This window comes from Homo sapiens, chromosome 7, assembly GCF_000001405.40.
Source record: "Homo sapiens chromosome 7, GRCh38.p14 Primary Assembly".
NCBI classification, from domain to species: domain Eukaryota; kingdom Metazoa; phylum Chordata; class Mammalia; order Primates; family Hominidae; genus Homo; species Homo sapiens.
In genome coordinates this window covers 20,167,899-20,188,287 of record NC_000007.14, presented here as the reverse complement: position 1 = coordinate 20,188,287, position 20,389 = coordinate 20,167,899, and the positions used below count along the sequence as shown (strand labels likewise).

The following is a 20,389-nucleotide window of genomic DNA, read 5'->3' as shown; positions in this document are numbered from 1 at the left end:
TCAAAAGAATGTTTTGTTAGAACCAGGTTGAAGTTCTGTGATATCGTTTGGCTCTGTGTCCCCACCCAAATCTCACCTTGAATTGGAATAATCCTCACCTGTCAAGAGTGGAACCAGGTGGAGATAATTGAATCATGGGGATGGTTTTTCCTGTGCTCTTCTTGAGATAGTGAGTGAGTTGTCAGGAGATCTTGTGGTTTTATAAGGGGCTTTCCCCCTTTTTGCTCGGCACTTCTCCTTACTGCTATCATGTGAAGGATGTGTTTGCTTCCCCTTCCACCATGATTGTAAGTTTCCCGAGGCCTCCCCAGCCGTGCAGAACTGTGAGTCAATTAAACCTCTTTCCTTTATAAATTACCCAGTCTCAGGCAGTTCTTTATAGTAGGGTGAGAATGGACTAATTCATTCTCTCTGATAGTTTTTTCCTCTTAACTAAAATATGAAGCAAGGTCACCAGGGGCAAATGACAACAGAGAAGGGTGTTGGAGATTCCACAAGAAGGGAGAGGGAGATGTATGTACCAGAAACATAAAGTTGCATTGTCTGGCAGCATGAAGAGCCCAGCTGGGGTTAACAACCCCAAATTGAAAGCAAGTCTGATCAGTAGGATTGTGTGCTTTCCTTCAGTTCCAAGAAGCTTCTGGGTTACAATAATTGGGCAGAGTGTTCAATTTCACCAAGGTCTTAAGTGTAGTTCCATTAGCTAGTCAAAGAAACTAATAGAGTGTTTAGGGAGTAAAGGGGCATGCACGAAGGTCACTCTGACTGTCCTTGGAGTTTAAGCTGTGGGAAGAGGGAGAAGGCTTGTGGGAAAGGCAGGCAAAGGACAAGAAGTTTGTCAGATTGATAGGTTGCTGGTCCTGTATAGTGAAAGGATTGTTAGAATCAAAGGATTCCCATGAAATATTAATTCATATTAGAGTTTACCACAATTTTAAGAATTTTTTTGTTCCTGTTGTGGTTTCCTCTTCACTCTGTTTTTCATTAAATGTATTCCTATCCCTCTTTAATTAAAAACTAGTTACAATTTTATTACTATTGTCCTCTCTATGTAAAATAATATCTTAATATGAAATAATGTATGCTCATTAAAAATTAGAAAATATAGAAAAGTAAAACAAAATTAGTATGGTCTTACCATTTACATGTGTTTACAGGTACTGGCAATAATTTTGAATGCAGGTGCTTCTTCACTTATGCTTGGGTTACATCCCAATAAGTCCACTGTAAATTCAAAAAATTGTGAGTTGAACCATTGTAAGTTAGGGACTTCCTTTATGTCATTTCAGTCTTGTTTCTTTTCATCTGATTTTATAAAACATGATAGTAATTATTCTATGTATTTTGTTTTGTACCATGTCTTAAGTTATTTCTTCTTACTATACTCTCCTAAGCATACGTTATGCTGTTAAATACTTTCGTCAAGATTATTTTTAATGACTGTGTAATATTCCAGTGAAGGATGTTTTATAATTAATTTTGTCTACATTACAGGTTATTTATACTAATTTGTTTGGGTATTAAAATTGTGTAGAGATTAACATCTTTATATTTAGGTTTTCAAAAAGTGTTATTTATATTCCCTAAGGAATCTTTTATAAGTTCATTCTTCCTTTTTTTTTCAAACAGACTAATTCAGGTTCCTCAAACTAATTCCTTAGACATTGTTGTTATTTATATAAATTGTCACAGTTTCCACATAGTATTTTAATAATTATTCCAGTGGATTTAACTATAATAGACTAATTTTCCATTTTTAATATGTTTGGCTGTCGTTTATTTATTTGATTATTTTACCTTTTCAATATTATGCTACATTTTTTATGGTGCCCTATTATGACAAAAGCCATACATTCACAAAGCCTTATTATTGTTTTGGTGATTATAACAATACTGTAATTTTTAATTACTTAGTATGAGTTAGTAAACATATTATTGGACCAATTTTTCTGTTGAAAGTATCCAATCCTATTTAGAATGTTGTTGGTCATAAATACCTCACATTACTTGTATTAGAAAACCTGGAAAGTGTCCCAGTTAGCAGGTCCCTTTCACCTCATAACAATCAAAGATGATTTTAGATTATAAGAGGTTATGGAAAGGTAACAGGAGGAAGTAAGGAAGAAAAACAACTTGTGCAGCCAAGAAGCTAGGCTTTACTGAACTGGAACTCTATCGTAAATGTAATAGTAGCTCTGTCCATTCGGCGATAATTCTGTAGTTATTCCTTCAGAAGAGCCTACTCAAGGCTTTCTACATTAGGGTCCAAGGACATTCGCCATATGCGACTTTGTGTGTAGTCAAAAGAGTAGTCATAGAGAATGTGGACCCTGGGGCAAGAATCTTGGGATTTTTCTCTTGTCTTCTTTACTTCCTACCGGGATGATGTTGGGTAGGTTAATTAATCTCTATGTATCTCAGTCTCCCCAACTGCAAAATGTAGACAATAATGTTACCTATTGCACAGCATTACTGTGAGGGTTAGAGGAGATAATAGATACCATGCATTTAGAAGCCTGCCTGCACAAAGCATGACCAGTAATTGCTAGCTATTGTAAGTTTCTGAAGATTTAAGTTAACGTACATTGGACAGTCTCGTCCTTACTTTTGCCAGATTTCTTATGTTTTCAATTTCTTTATTTTCTCATATCTTATCTTATAGGTAATGATTTTAAAATATTAAAAGTAATTGATTTCACTTTGTTCTCTATTTTTATCCTCCTCCTTTTATAAAAAAGCAGAAAATTTTCTTTTTCATATTTCTTTATAAATTAAAATCTGTTTAAAGAAAAAAAATTTTTTTTTTAAATAAACTTTGTAAGCACCATCTCATTTTTAGCTTGGGCGTCCAACCCAATCCCAAGAGTTTTCCTTATTTCTTGTCTCTTTTCTATGATTACATGTCAATTTCATTCAGTTGATGCCTCCTTGGTTTAGGTAATTGTAATGCCAATTTTTGATGTTGTTTGAATACCGGAAGATAGATTTTGCAAGAATAAATATCTCAAGTATTCTTTTAAAAGCTTCCAAAGCAGAAATGGCTGGGATATTGATAGAATTTGAAAGAGCAATCTTTCTTATGTGTTCTTATGATAGCAAAGTGTAAGCCTCTGTTCAAATAACAAATAACAATTTTGGGAGGAATTCAGGCTTAGTTTTTCTACCTCTTAGAGAGAACTGATATTATTTATTCTTCACAATCTTACCAGGAGATTGAAAAGTAATGGCGTGTGTTCTACCCTCACGATTAAAAAGGAAAAGTTCTCTGTGAATCATAATCAAAGAATCTTTGACCTGAAGTAAGTTCAAGTTGAGAATATTCTCGTCTCTAAGACTTAGTATAATAATGTTTAAATTGCATACATTTATGATAAAATCAATTATAATATACCTTTAAAGAAAATAAGAAATAATATGAAATATTGTAAAAGACGTTTCTTCCAGTTTCCTTTTGAATAAACTTTCCTTGGGAAAAGTTACATCATTTCTTTCAAATGTTTCATCAATATTGCTGGAAAATGGTGCTCCTACACAAAGAAAAATTTTTGTAGTTAAGAGTAAAGAGTGTTGTTTAATCAGTGAAAATATTTCGGCAGACAAAAGGTAAACATTTCTAACATACAAGGAGCTGAATTATATTTTTCTCCCTCTGTGTACCATTCTCCTGAACAGATACCCAAGAAATAGCATGAGTATAGTTATACAGATATAAATGCAAGAAATTTATTAGATAGGTTGAAAATTTATAACAATTCTTTGCTGCTTGCTTCTATTTTTTAGTGAAGTAGTTAGCTAAGAGTTTATTTGATAATGAGAAAGAAAAAAGGAGTTTTGCAAGTTTGAAATAAGAGTAGAAGATATGAGAAAATTGTTGCAGAGACTGGGAGGGTGAGTTAGGTAGAAGGATATAAGATTTGGTGTATTCTTTGTTGGGCACAATTGAGATTGCTGCTCATGTTTAAATCCAACAAATTTCAGCAAAAGGTAGTGAGTTAGATGTTGTTAATCTTGGGGTTTCTCAGATGAGTATGACTGAATAAAAGTGGTCTCGGGACACTGCTTGGGTGATGGGTGCACTAAAATTTCAGAATTCACCACTATATAATTCAACCATGTAAAAAAACCACTTGTGCTTCAAAAGCTATTGAAATAATTTTTTTAAGTGTGTTTGAGAGTTGAGAGCAAATGACTACAGTGTTGGAACTTAAAATCTAAATAGATGAAGGAAGCCAAGAAGGACCCAATGAAGTGAGGAATAATCCTTAAAAGTTAGAATCAGGGGCCAGGTGTGGTGGCTCATGCCTGTAATCCCAGCACTTTGGGAGGCTGAGGTGGATGAATCACCTGCGTTCAAGAATTTGATACCAGCCTGGCCAATATGGTGAAACCCTGTCTCTACTAAAAATACAAAAATTAGCTGGGCATGGTGGCGGGCGCCTGTGATCCCAGTTACTTGGGAAGCTGAGGCAGGAGAATTGCTTGAACCCGGGAACGGAGGCTGCAGTGAGGTGAGATCATGCCACTGCACTCCAGCCCGGGAAACAGAGTGAGACTCTCCCTCAAAAAAAAAAAAAAAAGTTAGAATCAGGTATTGAAGGACCCTGACTTGAATAACTGTTGGAATTAGGATATTACAGGGAAAGAAACGAAAGCAAGAAAAATACGTTGTGGAGAATTTCTCCTTCTGATGAATGTTAAAGCATCTTGTTGCATTAGATTCCATTTCTACAAAACAAATTACCATTTAAACTTAGAGATTTAAGGCAATAACCATCCATTAGTTCACAGTTTTGCAAGTCAGAAGTCTGGTACAATGAAGCTTGGCCCTCTGCTGAAGGTATCACAAGGCCAAAATCAAGGTGTCATTTGAACCGAATTCTCCTATGGAGGCTCTGGGGAAAAATCTGCTTCTAAGATTGTTTTTGTTAGTGGAAAGAATTAGTTTCTTGCAGCTGTAGGACTGAAGTCCCTGTTTTCTTGCCAACTACAGCCAGGGGCCACTCTCAGCTCTTAGAGGCTGCTCATATCCCTCAGTCTTCAGTCCAGCAATGGTTTGTCAAATTCTTCTCATGCTTTTAATCTCTGAATTCCTCTTCTGCAACGAGCTAGAGAAGATTCTGCTTTTAAAGGGCCTACTTCATTAAGTCGGGTACATCCACCAAAAATTCCCTTTTGCCATACAATGTCACGTAATCATGGATGAGGCATCTTATCATAATAGCAGATTCAACCCACATTCACAGGAGGGGATTGACATGGTTGAGAGTCACTGGGGGTGATCTTAGAATTCAGGCTACCCCACTCGTCAAATTCAATTAAGTTCTATTTAAATGTTTAATTTGAAAAATTGAGATCTTTACAGAATAAGAATTTTCTACAGTTTAATTTGTTTTTACATAAGATTTCCCATTAGTTTTTGTAAATATTGTGTATTGTAGATATTGCTGCTATTGTTAATGGGATTTTTTTTCATTACATTGTCTATTCTGTGAAAGGGCCATATATGAAAAGTGACTCCCATGTGTCAAAGGAGCCCAGAAACCAAAGAATGAGGAAGACAAATCGAGGTTGTTGGTATTGGGTGTTTTATGGGGGAAACTTACAAACAGAAGCATGGTCTTGGACGGTAGCAAGACAGGCAACTCTTCGCACTGTTTGTTCCCAGGCCCAGGGTTTATATACAGTAGGAAAGGGTATATATGGTCCAGCAAGACAATTAAAGGCAACCCTTCAGAATAGGCAAGAATGCGATGTGCATCATATCCTGTAACTTGTGCAATAATATTAAGGTTGACATGTTCTTACACTAAGAACAGCAAATAGGAATCAGGAGGCATTCATGGGACTGGAGTTAATCAGAAGTCAACATGGTGGGTTAACAGCCATAATGGAGTCACTTTTGTCTCCATATTATCAAATTGATTTATCACTAATTTTATTATTATTATTATACTTTAAGTTTTAGGGTACATGTGCACAACGTGCAGGTTTGTTACATATGTATACATGTGCCATGTTGGTGTGCTGCACCCATTAACTCGTCATTTAACATTAGGTATATCTCCTAATGCTATCCCTCCACCCTCCCCCCACCCCACAACAGTCCCCAGTGGGTGATGTTCCCCTTCCTGTGTCCATGTGTTCTCATTGTTCAATTCCCACCTATGAGTGAGAACACGTGGTGTTTGGTTTTTTGTCCTTGCGATAGTTTGCTGAGAATGATGGTTTCCAGCTTCATCCATGTCCCTACAAAGGACATGAACTCATCCTTTTTTATGGCTGCATAGTATTCCATGGTGTATATGTGCCACATTTTCTTAATCCAGTCTATCACTAATTTTTATTATTTATCTTTTATTTGACCTCCTAGACTTCTCATTAGTTCTAATAATCTGTCAGTTATTCTCTTGAATTGGTTAGGAGTATCATCATACAGTCTGTAAATAATATTTTTTCTCTCTCTTTTGAAAGTTCTATGTTTTAATTTATTTTTATTGTTTCATTGCACTGGTTATGAGCCCTTTGGTTACTGTGAAGGAAATTAACAGTAATATGGAATCTCATTACATTGTACCTTTTAAAATGCAAATGTTTTTAATATTTTATCATTAATTGTGGTATAAGAGAAAGGTTTATGGCAAATACTCTTTACCAGATAAAAATTTTCATCTATTTCTAGGTTGTTGGCATATTTTTATGAAATTCAATATGGAATTTTAGCAAATGATTTTTTAGAATGCATTGAGATAATCATAGTTTTTACATATTAAATTAATACAATGATTGCATGAATATATTATCAAATGCTTAAGCAGTCATTTGTTCCTGGCAAACCTAACTTCGTTAATATGTATTATTCATGTAATACACTTATAAGTTTTATTTGTTAATATTTTATGTATAATATTTAATCTAATATTCAGTGGAATTTCACTACAATATTTTATACTGTAACTGTCCTTTCTATCAATATAATGCTTGTTACAAAGACTCCATTTTTCTTTGTAATACATATTATTTATATAATGTAAGATTTTTATCACTAAAAGTTTTGTTAGAACCTGATATGGAATCAAATTGTCCAGGTCAGTTTTAGAACATAGTTTTAGCTGGCAGTCCTATTTCTTTCATGTTTATGTGTACATTGAGAATTTTTACTTTATAAGTAAATGTTAATTATACACACACACACACACACACACACACAGAGCACATACATCCTTAGAACAGTTTTTAGTATCGCCATTCAAATTTATTAGCTTAAAATCACATTTATGCTTTTTCAAAATCATTTATTGTTCTTAGAATCTGTAGTTATATTCTTCTGTGATTTTGTTTTAGTTTCCTTTATTTCTATACATATTTCATAAACATTTGCCAATTTATATTTGCCTTCTTAATGAATCATACTTTGGAATTATTATTATTATTATTGTTATTTGAGATGCAGGCTCATCCTGTCACCCATGCTGGAGTGCAGTGGTGAAATCTCACCTCACTGAAACCTCTGCTTCCCGGATTCAAGTGATTTTTCTGTGTCAGCCTCCTGAGTAACTGGGATTACAGACACGCACCACCACATCTGGCTAATTTTTTTAAATTTTTAGTAGAGATGGGGTTTCACCATGTTGACCTGGCTGGTCTCAAACTCCTGACCTCAAGTGATCCACCCACCTTGTTCTCCCAAAGTGCTGGGATTACAGGCGTGGCCACTGCGCCCAGGCACACTTTAGAATTATTAATCAATTAAACTGCTAGTTTTATGTACAATATTTCTATTTTGCTATTTATATGCTTTGCTAATTTAAGCCTATACATTTTTTTTTCTTTTTTTTTTCCTTTTTTTTAGATGGAGTCTTGCTTTGTCGCAAGGCTGAAGTACAGTGGCGCAATCTCGGCTCACTGCAACCTCCTCCTCCCGGGTTCAAGCAATTCTCCTGCCTCAGCCTCCCGAGAAGCTGGGACTACGGGCACGTGCCACCACGCCCGGCTAATTTTTGTGTTTTTAGTAGAGACGGGGTTTTACCGTGTTGGCCAGGATGGTCTCAATCTCTTGACCTCTTGATCTGCCCGCCTCGGCCTCCCAAAGTGCTGGGATTACAGGCATGAGACACCATGCCTGGCCATTGCCTATATATTTTTGAACATACTTTCTATCATTATCTGAATTGAATAAGTATATTCTCTCCTGAACAAGGCAAGAATTTTACTTTTTAATTAAAAAATTTAGCAGAATTTTGATCAAGATGAGCAGCTTCAGGTTTTGACACTCTTTTATCTCTCCTAAAAATATCAATAAACAGCTCATAGTAAAATAGAAAAAAATGTCTGGGCCCCAAAGCACAGTTGACAATTCATAGAGCAGAATTGGAGCAGAAATACAGTGTGATAAGGTGATTGAATTCACAGACCTACCACACTTTGTGTGTGAAAGCAAGAGTGGGAGCTGAATTTTGGCTTTAGTAAGTAGATTGAGTCTTAAAAGATCTTTGTTTGAGACAGAAGACCAGAATCTTATTTGTTGGTTGAAACCACTGGTTGATGTCAGCTACCCTTAACCCCCAAATCTTGGAAGCCTTTTGAAAACAAAAAACAAAAAACAAAAAAAACAACAACTCCTGCTGGCTTCTGTGTGGGGCTTCAGATATTAACAAGAAGCAGCCTAGGAAATGGAAAATACTCAGAAACAGCCTCCAATCAGGAACTGAACTGTTCACCAGGCTTTTTGCATGGATCTGCAATATATCGAATACCATCATGGGACAGAAGCAATACCATTTAGTGACCTAAGAAGCCCAATGGAGGCAACCGAAATCCACTGGACAGAGAGAAGAGAGCACAGAATTGAGGAGAGAAACGAAACAGACAAAATACCTTCTAATTAACATGACCTTGGAAACCAAAATTCTGAAACATTTGAAGAAATAGAATGCTGAGTAATATATCTAACACAGCCATAATTATTAAGTGGACTTAATCAAAATGAATTAATTATATAAAATAATCTGAAAACAGTCAGATTTTAAATGATGGAATTTTTTTTTTCTGTAAGATAGCAAGACCTTATTCAAAGGACAAATGGAAAAGAAAAAGCACTGATGAGAATATTTAGCATTGACAAATGTAGTCATAGTAATGGAAACCTAATATATGGAAAAAGAAAACCTCAACAAATTGGACATTAGCACTGATTTATTTGTTGAGAACACAGCACGAAGCAAAAGAAGATAAAAGTTCATAAAAGTTAATAAATCTGAAGAAAAGAGTATTCATTTCATCAGATTTCCAGAAAAAAAATCCAGAGAAAGTAGGATAGAGAAAATAGTTGAATGTTTTTCAGGATTGAAGAAAGGTATGAGTTCTTAGCATGATAAAAAAGGTAAATCTGGGCTGGGCATGATGGCTCACATCTGTAATCCCAACACTTTGGGAGGCCAAGATGGGAGGATCATCTGAGGTCAGGAGTTCGAGACCAACCTGACCAACATGGAGAAACCCCATGTCTACTAAAAATACAAAATTAGCCAGGCGTGGTGGTGCATGCCTGTAATCCCAGCTACTCAGGAAGGCTGAGGCAGAAGAATCGCTTGAACCCGGGAGGCAGAGGTTGCGGTGAGCCGAGATCGCGCCTTTGCACTCCTGCCTGGGCAACAAGAGCGAAACTCCATCTCAAAAAAACAAAAACAAAAAGGTTAATCTGCATAGGTGTACTCCATAGTGAAACTAAAGACTCTCAAGAATTTAGAGAAGTTCTTTAAAATTTAACAGAATGATAAAAAACTGCCTACAAAAGAACACCAACCAGACTGTTGAAGCTGTCTCATCAACACTAATACATGCCGAAAGATAATGAAATAATGTCTTCAAAATGTTGAAGGTATACAACTGTAAACCTTGTTAATTCAGGACAAAAGCATAGAACATAAGAATAATGATGACCACAGAATTGTATAAAATGTAGGCATAAATTGAATCAATTATTCTCTGGAGTGTGTGTGTGTGTGTGTGTGTGTGTGTGTGTGTGTGAAATAAGATTAACATTCTGGGCAGCAATAATAGTGTGAAATTTTTCAATAAGCAGATATTTTTATGATCATTTTTTGTTTTAGAGTATTAGTAAGAAACATAAAATAAATTTATACATTCTTATGAATATTTATAAGTAAGTAGGTAAACTGAGATCTTAAAACTTACTACAAAATGTGTAGAGTTTAAAAACCTGGAATTGGGAACAAGAGGAGCTATTGAACATTTTATTCATCTAATAGAAGGAGGAAATAAATAAAAGTAAAAAAGTAAACACAAAATAAGGTAATGGAGATAAATTTAAAAATCATGTTTTTAAATGATTTTAAAGGGATGGAACTCAACTATTTAAAGGTGAAGACTGCCAGTCAGTGTGAATTGTTTAAAAAAGTCCAACAATTTGGGGCTGGACAACCAGTCAAATGGTTGAAATAAGAAGATGGGAAAAAATATGTCAGGTAAATACTTTATTTCATTGGATTTATGACTTCCCCTGTAAGATGCATTATTATTTTATATAATACCAAAAAAAAAAAAACAACAAAGGCAGCTAAATTCTGAAATTAATTGCATATGCATCATGATTTCAGATATATTAAACTGTGAAAAAAGTGCGTTAAAATGGTAAAGCACAATAATCAAAATAAAGTTTGTATAGCAATATTAATATCACATAAAATATAAATTAGAACAAAAAAGCACTTATAGGGATAAAGAGAAACACCAGAGAAAAACAAAGAAAAAATCCTAAGAAAATATAACCTTCACATACTTATATGGTTTAACAGCAAAGCCCTGAACTGTTTAATATAGGAAGCACAAACTGACTGAATTACAAGAGACTGAGACAATTTCAAAATCATGGTGGGAGATTTTATCACATCAACAGAAACTTAAAAATTAAACAGGTATAAAATAGTTACAAGAATAGAGTGTATTTGAACAGCATAGTTTAAAAAGTTGATATAATTAGATACAAAGAGACAAATTTCAGGCCAAATGTTATCATTTGTTATTTAATTTCAGACATTCTGTGCTTGTGTATTTCCGGTTTTTTGACTTTTTATTTTAAACTAATCATAGAGTCCCAGGAATTTGGAAAGATAGTACAAAATCCTATATACCTTCCATCTAGTTCCCCTAAAGGGACCATCTTACATAACTGTAGCACAATATCAAAACCAGGAAATTGACACTTGTACAAGGTGTGTATGTATAGCTCTTTGACATTTTATCACGTGTAGATTTGTATAACTGCCAGTGCTATTAAGATACAAAACCAGTTCATCACTACAAAGATCTCCCTTGCGGTACCCCTTTATAGTTACATCCACTCCTCTTCCCTTCACCATCCCTATTCTCTGGCACCACTAATCTGCTCGCCATCACTATAATTTTATCATTTAGAGTATGTCATGTAAATGAAATCATACCTTATGCGACTGGCTTGTTTCACACAGCATAATGCCTGAGATGTATCTAAGTTGTTGCATGTGTTAATAGTTTCTTTCATTTTATGGTTGAGTAATATTTCACGGTATGGGTGTAACACAGTTCTTTAAATCATTTACTCACTGAAGGACATTTTGGTTGTTTCCAGTTTGGGGCTATTAAATACTAAGCTGCTATAAACAATTGTGTAAATACATTTCTATGAAAATAAGTTTTCATTTCTCTGGGATAAACATCCAGGGTGATTGCTGGGCACATGGCAAGTTTATGTTGAATTTTTAAAAGACATTGCATAAGGCTAATCTTTTAAATTAACTATTATTTTATCCCTATTTTCAGAGAACTGAGAAACATGATGATTAGTAATACAGGCTTTGAAAACAATAGACTTGATCAATTCAATACGGGTTGAATCTGGCACTGCCATCATCAGCAGTGAGACTTGACAGATTAATTAACCCTGCTACAGTTCTATGCCATTTTATCTCATGTATAGACTTCTCTTTTATTTTTACGAGTTTTATTGAGGTATAATTGATGAAGATTGTATATATTTAAGATGCGCAACATGATGTTTTATGTATATGTTGTAAAATGAAGTTAAATTATACTCTGACCATAAAACAATAGTCTATTCAGAAACCTAAAAATATTCTCTATTAATAAGTTTTGAGAGAACATTTGTTGTACTTAGTAATTTTTTTACAGTTTACAAATCACTATCATCTTTAATATCTCTGACTTGATTTCCACACCTGCCCTATGAAATGGGCACCACAGCATAAACAGAGGCTCAAGAGGTGCAATAATACTGAAGGATATCGAAGAGGTCAGTTGTAGAACCCACTTCTAACACTGATCTCTGATTTTCAGTGTTGTCTTTTCTTTGTAGCCTACAATGGAAATATTTTTATTATTGTTCCAGCTTTATATTTGCTATATTCCAAATAGTTCTAAGGAATTGATTTAAGGCTGCTCCAGCTTCACCGTCAGCAAACATATTAGCATTAGGTTTTATCACTGGGGCCAAGAGTCATGTTAAAATGCTATTTCTTCATCCAAGTAAAGGATAAGAAGGAGAAATAGAAGAAAAGCCTGCTTTCAAGATTAAACACTGTGACAGTCTTCTGGTGACAGGATGAAATGTTACCTAAAATTTTTCTTGGTTATTTACCAGTGCCAGAGGCACAAAACCCCCTAATATATGAATATATAGATATATAGTTTCATGAACATATATGCATATATGCAATTATATGAAAATGCTAATTTTGCAATACATTTGAAAATATATCAAGAGTTATATATATTAGATGCAGATATCTTTGAAAATAACCTATAAGTGTTTTTTTATGTTCTATTGCTTGATCAATTTTTTAAATCTGCCTTTGCCTGTCATATTTTAAAGTTGATGATCCATGAAAAAGAAGAGAAAAACCAAAACATTGATTAAATATGTGTATATATTTTGTACATATTCACACACATTTATTTTATGATATTGGTGGTAACAGATTTCTTTTAATGGTTGTTGGAATAATGGATAGTTTGGAAAATAATGCCATAAATTTTGCATCATATACCAAAATAAAATATTGCCGGGTTAAAGAGTTCATCAAAAAAAGTTAAAGCCATAAGGAATCAGAAGCTAATATAAGTTAATATTCATTTTATCTCAGAGTAGATGATATCTTTCTAACCATAAATATAGAAACAGAGGCCAAGTCAGAAAAGATTTATAGATTTGTCAACATAAAATTAGAATATGACATAAAATATCGTAAATAAAATAGGAGAACTGAGAAGATACTGGGAGATGATATTTGGGATATGTGATATACAACATATGAAGGGTTGATATATTTAGTATTAGAATATTTTTCAAGTTCATCAACAGAAAACTGGGAAAATGGTAGTAAAGGATTTTGCAAAAGCAATACAAAATAACAAATACATTTTTTTAAAATTTAAGGATGTAAATTGTTCTTGAAAGGCAAAGGGAAAAGAGTATTTAAATTAATGTTGATACCGTGAATAGTCATACACAAATGTGAACATTATTTTGCATTCAGAGATACCCACACAGTACATGCTTTTACTATATGCTTTATATTTTCCTTTTTAATAATATTTTATGTGAATAGGGAAATGCCATTTGAAATAATACACACAAAACAAAACATCAATAGTAGATTTTGGGGGTGAGAATTTTATTTTATTCTCGTACTTTTCTTTATTAAAAAACTCTGCAAGCTGTATATGTTTGTATACCCACACAAGGCATTATACCATATAAAATCTTTTATACCTTGCTTTTGCCCATAACATTATAATATCTGCAATTTCCCATATAGTTATATTTTTATAACATTGATTTTGCTGGGGCCATGAAATTTAGTTAACCATTTTAAAATTTCTTTCTCATACCTGAATTCAAACAGTAGATTCATTGTATTTGATCCTAGAAGTTTTAAAATGAACTTCTCACATTCCTTCCCCTGAAATATTTAAGTTTTGCCAGATGCTGATTGGGGAAAGCTTCCCAACACGATTCTTACAGATGAGCTGTCATCTTATTCACTGACAAATTCTGTCTCTTTGTCTTTATACACATATTGCATTATCATTTAATTTTAATAATTACACCAATATTTATTCATAACTTATTCTAGAATTATGCTAAGTGCTGGGGTCCAAAGAGGATTGAGAAAGTCCCTGTGATTCAGGCAACCTCAGATCATCAGGAAGTCACACTTAAGTGCTGAATGTTGTTGTCTGTTCATCCAACTAACCATCCATGAACTTACCTACTTCTTTGAAACCATACACCCAAACCAATTTTTATGAATCAAATCTGAATCTATATACCCAAAGGAAGCAGTTGTCCACGTTATGAACATACTCATGTGACGCAACTGCTCCTCAAAAGACAGGAGAGTTCCTTTAGCCTCACTTTCAGAGCTAGTTTCCCCATCATACCCAAGAGCATCAATCTCAGTGACCCCAGCCAGTACTAAAACAGGTTCATGGCACCATCATTTAAATGAATTTATTACATTTCAGAGACTACTGGTTAGTTGGGCCAAGATGGTATGTGGCTAGGACCCAAGATCAGATTGTCCATTAGCACAATAGGTTTGAAGCAGATAATGCTAGGCAAACACACAATTTTATGAGTGGCTGAGGTCGCACTCTATTTGCAACCCACTTTTTGCATAAGCTAGAGGCAGAACAAGGACTTATGCCAAAGGCAACCTTTACATCACCTTACTATCCAGAAGTGTCACTATCTAGATCTTACAATTCAAAGGGAAAGAAAAGACAAAGATATTGACCCTGACAATCACACTAAGGGAGGAAGAATTTGTCCCTAAAACCTGGAACAAAACTAATCTTTCCTATAATCACAAGGCTATACTAGAAAGGGCCATGCCCCAAGAAAGAGAGCTGTAAATTTTTCCTTTATCATAGTGAAATCCTATGTCTAGCACATAGTCCCGAGACATGTTTGTGCCAGGGTAAGGATGGGCATCTTCAGCTGCCATATATTTTATTATGTTTAATAATATGTTTTTAGAAAACAAAGCAAAACATGTATATTATCACCTCATAATTATGATTTGGTGGCTCTCAATTTATCTCCCAGAAACTTTTTATAAAAATAAATGAAGCCTGGGATCCATCTCGGATTTTTGGGATGATTTCTGGGCATCTGTATTTTTAAAAATAGCTCTGAAATTGATTTTGATGCAGAGGAATGGTTGAGAACCCCAATTTTATACTAAACTGTTTAGGGAAAATGATAAGGAGGTAGAAAGCAAGAACAGGACAAAACTCCTAAACAGCAGTCCAGGAAGACCCCAACCTGGCACCAGGTGGTGCTGTGGGGACAACTCTGAGGCTTTTTCCCGTCTCCCCAGCTGATCACAAGGAACCCACTAGCTTCCCCAGAGCAGCACAGGCTCTCAGCAAGGAGATAGGCTCCTGACCTTGAGTATTCCACCTGCATTAAATAAAGGGGAGATGGAGGAAAAAGGAGAGGAAGAGCTCCTTCTTGGAGAGGTTCACTGTCACTTTGGGCGGTTAAGTGATGGGGTTCAACTTTTAGGTCAATTGAAAGAATTAAAAATGACAGTGATGGACAATTCTGCCTATTCTATTCTGAATGGTTTCTTTTGTATTTTATTTTGTATTTTATTCTGTTTCCACTAGAATTTAACACCTGAAAGTAGAATAACAAAACATAATTAATTTAAACATGAAATTAAAGTCATTCCTATATAGCTCAAATATATATGTGTGTATATATGTGTGTATATATATGTGCGTATATATATTTATATATTTTATTTTCTCCCTCATGATGGTTTAAAATACTTTAAAAATCCATACAGATAGAAAAGAGATTTACATTGAATATTTTACATTCTTTATGTTGGACTACGTACTTATATACTAACATGTTCCTGTAACTGTGGTAACCAGCCATCCTGGTTTGCTCCGGACTGAGAGGTTTGGATTTTAAAACAGGGCAGTCCTGGGCAAACCCAGATCAATGGCAGCTCACCCTGCTTGTAACCCGTATGTTCATTTGGGCAGCTGTGTTTTCCTTTTATTCCTGCTGTTAAGTTGGACTCAATGCCTCTTATTTTACACTATAAATGTTTCCTGAATCAGTGAGTAACATGGATTTTTCTGAAGATTGTGTGGGAGAACTAGATATTAGGGTTGACAATGCATACCTCTCAGTATTTCCCTCAGAATATTCTCATTAGTTATGTCTTTTTATTTCGTATTTCCCTTCTAGGCTACAATCACTTGTCCCAATCCTCAGTCTCCTCAGTTGGTTTCCTTTCTTACCCAGGGCAGTTTTCCTCTCTCAGCTTTTTCCTCCAGACTTCTTGTAACTCACATCATCACTTGATACCGTGTTGAAATAAGTGAAATTTTGAAGATGTAATTGTCTCTGTGAGGCCGAGGTGGGCAGATCACCTGAGGTAGGGAGTTCGAGACCAGCTTGACCTATATGGTGAAACCCTGTCTCTACTAAAATTACAAAAATTAGCTAGGCGTGGTGGTGGGCATCTGTAATCCCAGCTACATGGGAGGCTGAGGCAGAAGAATTGCTTGAACCTGGGAGGTGGAGGTTGCAGCGAGCTGAGATCACACCACTGCACTCCAACCTGGGCGACAGAACGAGACTCCATCTCAAAAAAAAAAAAACAGATATAATTGTCTCTAAGAAAGAAAATAATCAGCCGGGCGTGGTGGCTCATGCCTGTAATCCCAGCACTTTGGGAGGCCGAGGCAGGCGGATCACAAGGTCAGGAGATCGAGACCATCCTGGCTAACACGGTGAAATTCCGTCTCTACTAAAAATATAAAAAAAAATTAGCTGGGCGTGGTGGCGGGCACGTGTAGTCCCAGCTACTCAGGAGGCTGAGGCAGGAAAATGGTGTGAACCTGGGAGGCGGAGCTTGCAGTGAGCCAAGATAGCGCCACTGCACTCCAGCCTGGGCGACAGAGCAAGACTCCACCTCAAAAAAAAAAAAAAGAAAATAAAATAATCTTCCAGTTTCTAGTAATCAGAAATCAGTGGAGCATTAATAATAACAAAAATACTTTTGTTCAGCTGAATCATATATATGTCTATATCAATATCCATCTTTCTCTATCAGTTGTCTATATTTCTGAATAGATATATGCACACATGTATGCGCATTAGTATTTTTCAAGTCACTGCTTTGACAAAGAGTTCATACTGTTGCACACCGTTCTGTTTACAAAAATAACAAATGGAAACAGTGTGATTCCCTGAAACATTAGAAACTAGATGTAATCAATTGTTGAGAATTTAAGGGAAATTCCTGCTGTATGAATTGGATGGTGTGGTGTAATGAGTCTCTCTTTAATCTTACCCATTCTACCAAATTTTATTCATAAGCTCTTTCTCATAGCAAACGTTAGTGCATAAACATTCTGTTTTCACTTAACAGTGACCAAAGATTCATGTTTATTCTCTTTCAAGTAGGTAGCCTTGTCAGATGATATGCAAATGATTCACATCAGTGTTTGAAGTTCAAACCAAGGAAAACTGTGAGTATACACAAAATGTCAGAGTGTTTTTCTCTTGGCAAAGAATGCTGGGAATCTTACGATTAATTCCATACAGTAACAACTCAGCAAGTGTTGGCTAAAAATACTTGCTTTTACTGCAAAAGTACTAACACAAATCTAATTTTAAACGATACAATAATTTTTACATTTTCCCCTTCAGAGAGGTGAAAAGTATTGTCAAGTTGAATAATCTGTTAAGCTAAAATGACAAACTTTCACAGTGTTTATTCTGTTTCCTCTTTTCCAATATTCTTTACATATCTTTGTCAGTAACCACTCATTACATTGTCTAAGACCAACGGAATTGGCACAGAAGTGAAAAACAGAGAAGAATTATCATTTTAAGCAGCAACTGATGTTCATTGGGGATTTATGTTATTTCAATATTTACAACAATTTTTTAAAAAAGCTTTATTGAGATATATTTCACGTATCATTGTAACCACTTTTTGAAGACAATATTTTACCCTCATTTTGTAGATGAGGAAATGGTGCTCAGACCAGTGAATTCATTTCTAAGCATTGGTCTGAAGTTACGTCTGTCTATTTTCAAAGACTGCGTTCTTTCTATTGCACTCCAGTGCCTCTGCTGTGATGAGTCCAGTCACTCTTTTGGCAGGAATCATGGCACTGGTAAAATTTTCTATGAAGGGTGAAGAATAGGATACAGGGTCCCAAGACACAACTTGTAAGCTATCAGAGATTGGAGTCTCAAGACATCTGATTGAGAGGAGAAGATTCTTGAATGGGCCCAGTTGGCAAAGTTATTTCTATATGCACTGGAATAACCAGGAGGGAGAGACCAGAGGAAAAGCAAGGGGTCCTCTTGTGCCACTTTTTATACAGTATTTCATTTGATCCTTATGAACAGCATGTGGGGTTATTATATGTTGATAGTAATACTAATTATTACCTATTTTAGTTTAGTTCTTTACAGATGATAAGTAGAGTTCCAGAAATGTTCAGTATCTTTCCAAGTTTATACTAGAAGGACTGTAACCAGAGAATTGTAACTCCAAAGCCTATATTCTTTCTACTTTACAAAAATGCATTTACATAAAAGAAAGGAAAGACATTGCTGACTGATGACAACCAGTGAGGTCTCCTGATATACTGTCAAGTGTTCTAGGAAGCAGTGGAGCTTTGCAGAGAAAACAAATACAGAATTTGGCTCAGTTTGCTAGAAAAGACCATGCAAGTGAGGACCCTACAGTTACAGCTTTATTAGCCACACTATAAACCCACGTCTTGTCCACCCCTTCTGAATTGGGGGTTGATCTTTATACCTTTTGAAAAGTACAACCCAGAACACGTTTTTTGCACTGAAGGGTACAGGAAAGAAAAATGACTGCAGGTCCATAACTACACAAAGTCATATCCAACTACTCTTGCAATAATTAAACTTGTCCAATCCCAGGGACAAGATTTGTAGCTAATTTATTTCTCAGAGTTTGCTTGAAACATCTATTGCTTAAAGTTAAACCTGAGAGACATATCACTGGGAATATTTTATGGCAACAGTGGGGATTAGGTAAAAGAAGTCATTAAATGTTTTTCACAATGAAAGTACTACAGCTTTGCTCTGTGGCCTTGAAAGTTGGAAATGTATGCTCTTGTGTGGGAGCAGTAACAAAACTGTTTCTGAGGAAAACTGCAGTCCCTATCATGGCACAGCATGCAGAAGTAGAATGATCTTCTGCTCAGGCTACATTTTAGCTACTCATCTCAATTGTCATCTCAAATTTACTCATCTCAATTTTCACAAGAGAACGTGACTCCTATCTTTAACTTAGTGAATTGTTTGGGTCTTCAAAAGAAAAAGCTGCTCTGGATCTTAGGCCTAGAATGTCTCAGTCAGCTCTGACTTGAAAAGTGGAAAGGGAAACTCTGTTGAGAGGAACCAAGCATAGTGGGCTTTACTGGACTAGGTCCTGTCCTTTTGGGATTGTAACCTGACATGTGTGCTTATCTTAGAATAGGGAGGCAGATAGCTGTCTAGCTGGGCCCACTCTTCTCCACCTGACTTGACAGAATTGCCTTTGGGTGAGATGACATCAACACACATTAAGAAAGAGCTCCATTAAAGAGATTTACTGTTGAACATACTGTAAAAGGTGGGACCGAGGATACTGTCCCCAGTAGTTACATGCTCCTCTTCACCCCTCTTTATTCCAGGTATTGCTGGTGCTGCTGTTAAGTGGCTTCTTTGTGTTCTATGATCACTGTGAAGCTTGTAACTAATCATGTTTACCTTATTTTGGTCACTTTCAGAAAGTGGAGAGCCAAATGTGTGGACTACTGCTAATAGGTATACTGGAATTTACAGCATGATGTTTGTGAAGTTGCTTTTATTTGAAGTTGTCCTACCAACTTCCTGCAAATGTCACCCTTATTTATTCACTTATTTTGTTTTTAAATTTTTTTTTTTTTACTGAAGAATAATATACACTTACTTGTTGTTTAAACTCATTGTGTTATTTGACTATTTGTAAATTTCTCAACATATTTTTAAGCCAAGGAAGTGCATGTGTGTTGTGGGTATGTTCATGCACACACACGTGTAAAATGAACATACTGTAGGGAATTCAAATAAAAAAGACAAATAACTATCAACCTCTCTGCAGCTTGGTTCATCATCTGTAAGATGAGCATTCTTCATCCAAAATAATGCTTTTCTCCTTTCTTCATGGCCCCTTGTAATTTTAGTCATTTCTCTGGGTCTGAAGAGTAAAGGTTGCCAACTCTGTGAACAAGGACCAGCTACATAATTTGCAGCACCAGTGAAAAATGAAAA

The 20,389-nt window shown here is 35.4% G+C and overlaps 1 protein-coding gene across 1 annotated transcript in view; it reads left to right on the top strand.

Annotated features, from left to right (window-relative positions):
* The window catches only part of MACC1 (MET transcriptional regulator MACC1), an 82,730-nt gene that overhangs the window by 29,097 nt on the left and 33,244 nt on the right, over positions 1–20,389 (top strand). The window contains exon 2 of the mRNA NM_182762.4: positions 17,510–17,574. The gene's annotated coding sequence lies outside the window, so the exon portion shown is untranslated. The remainder of the gene's footprint in view (positions 1–17,509; positions 17,575–20,389) is intronic.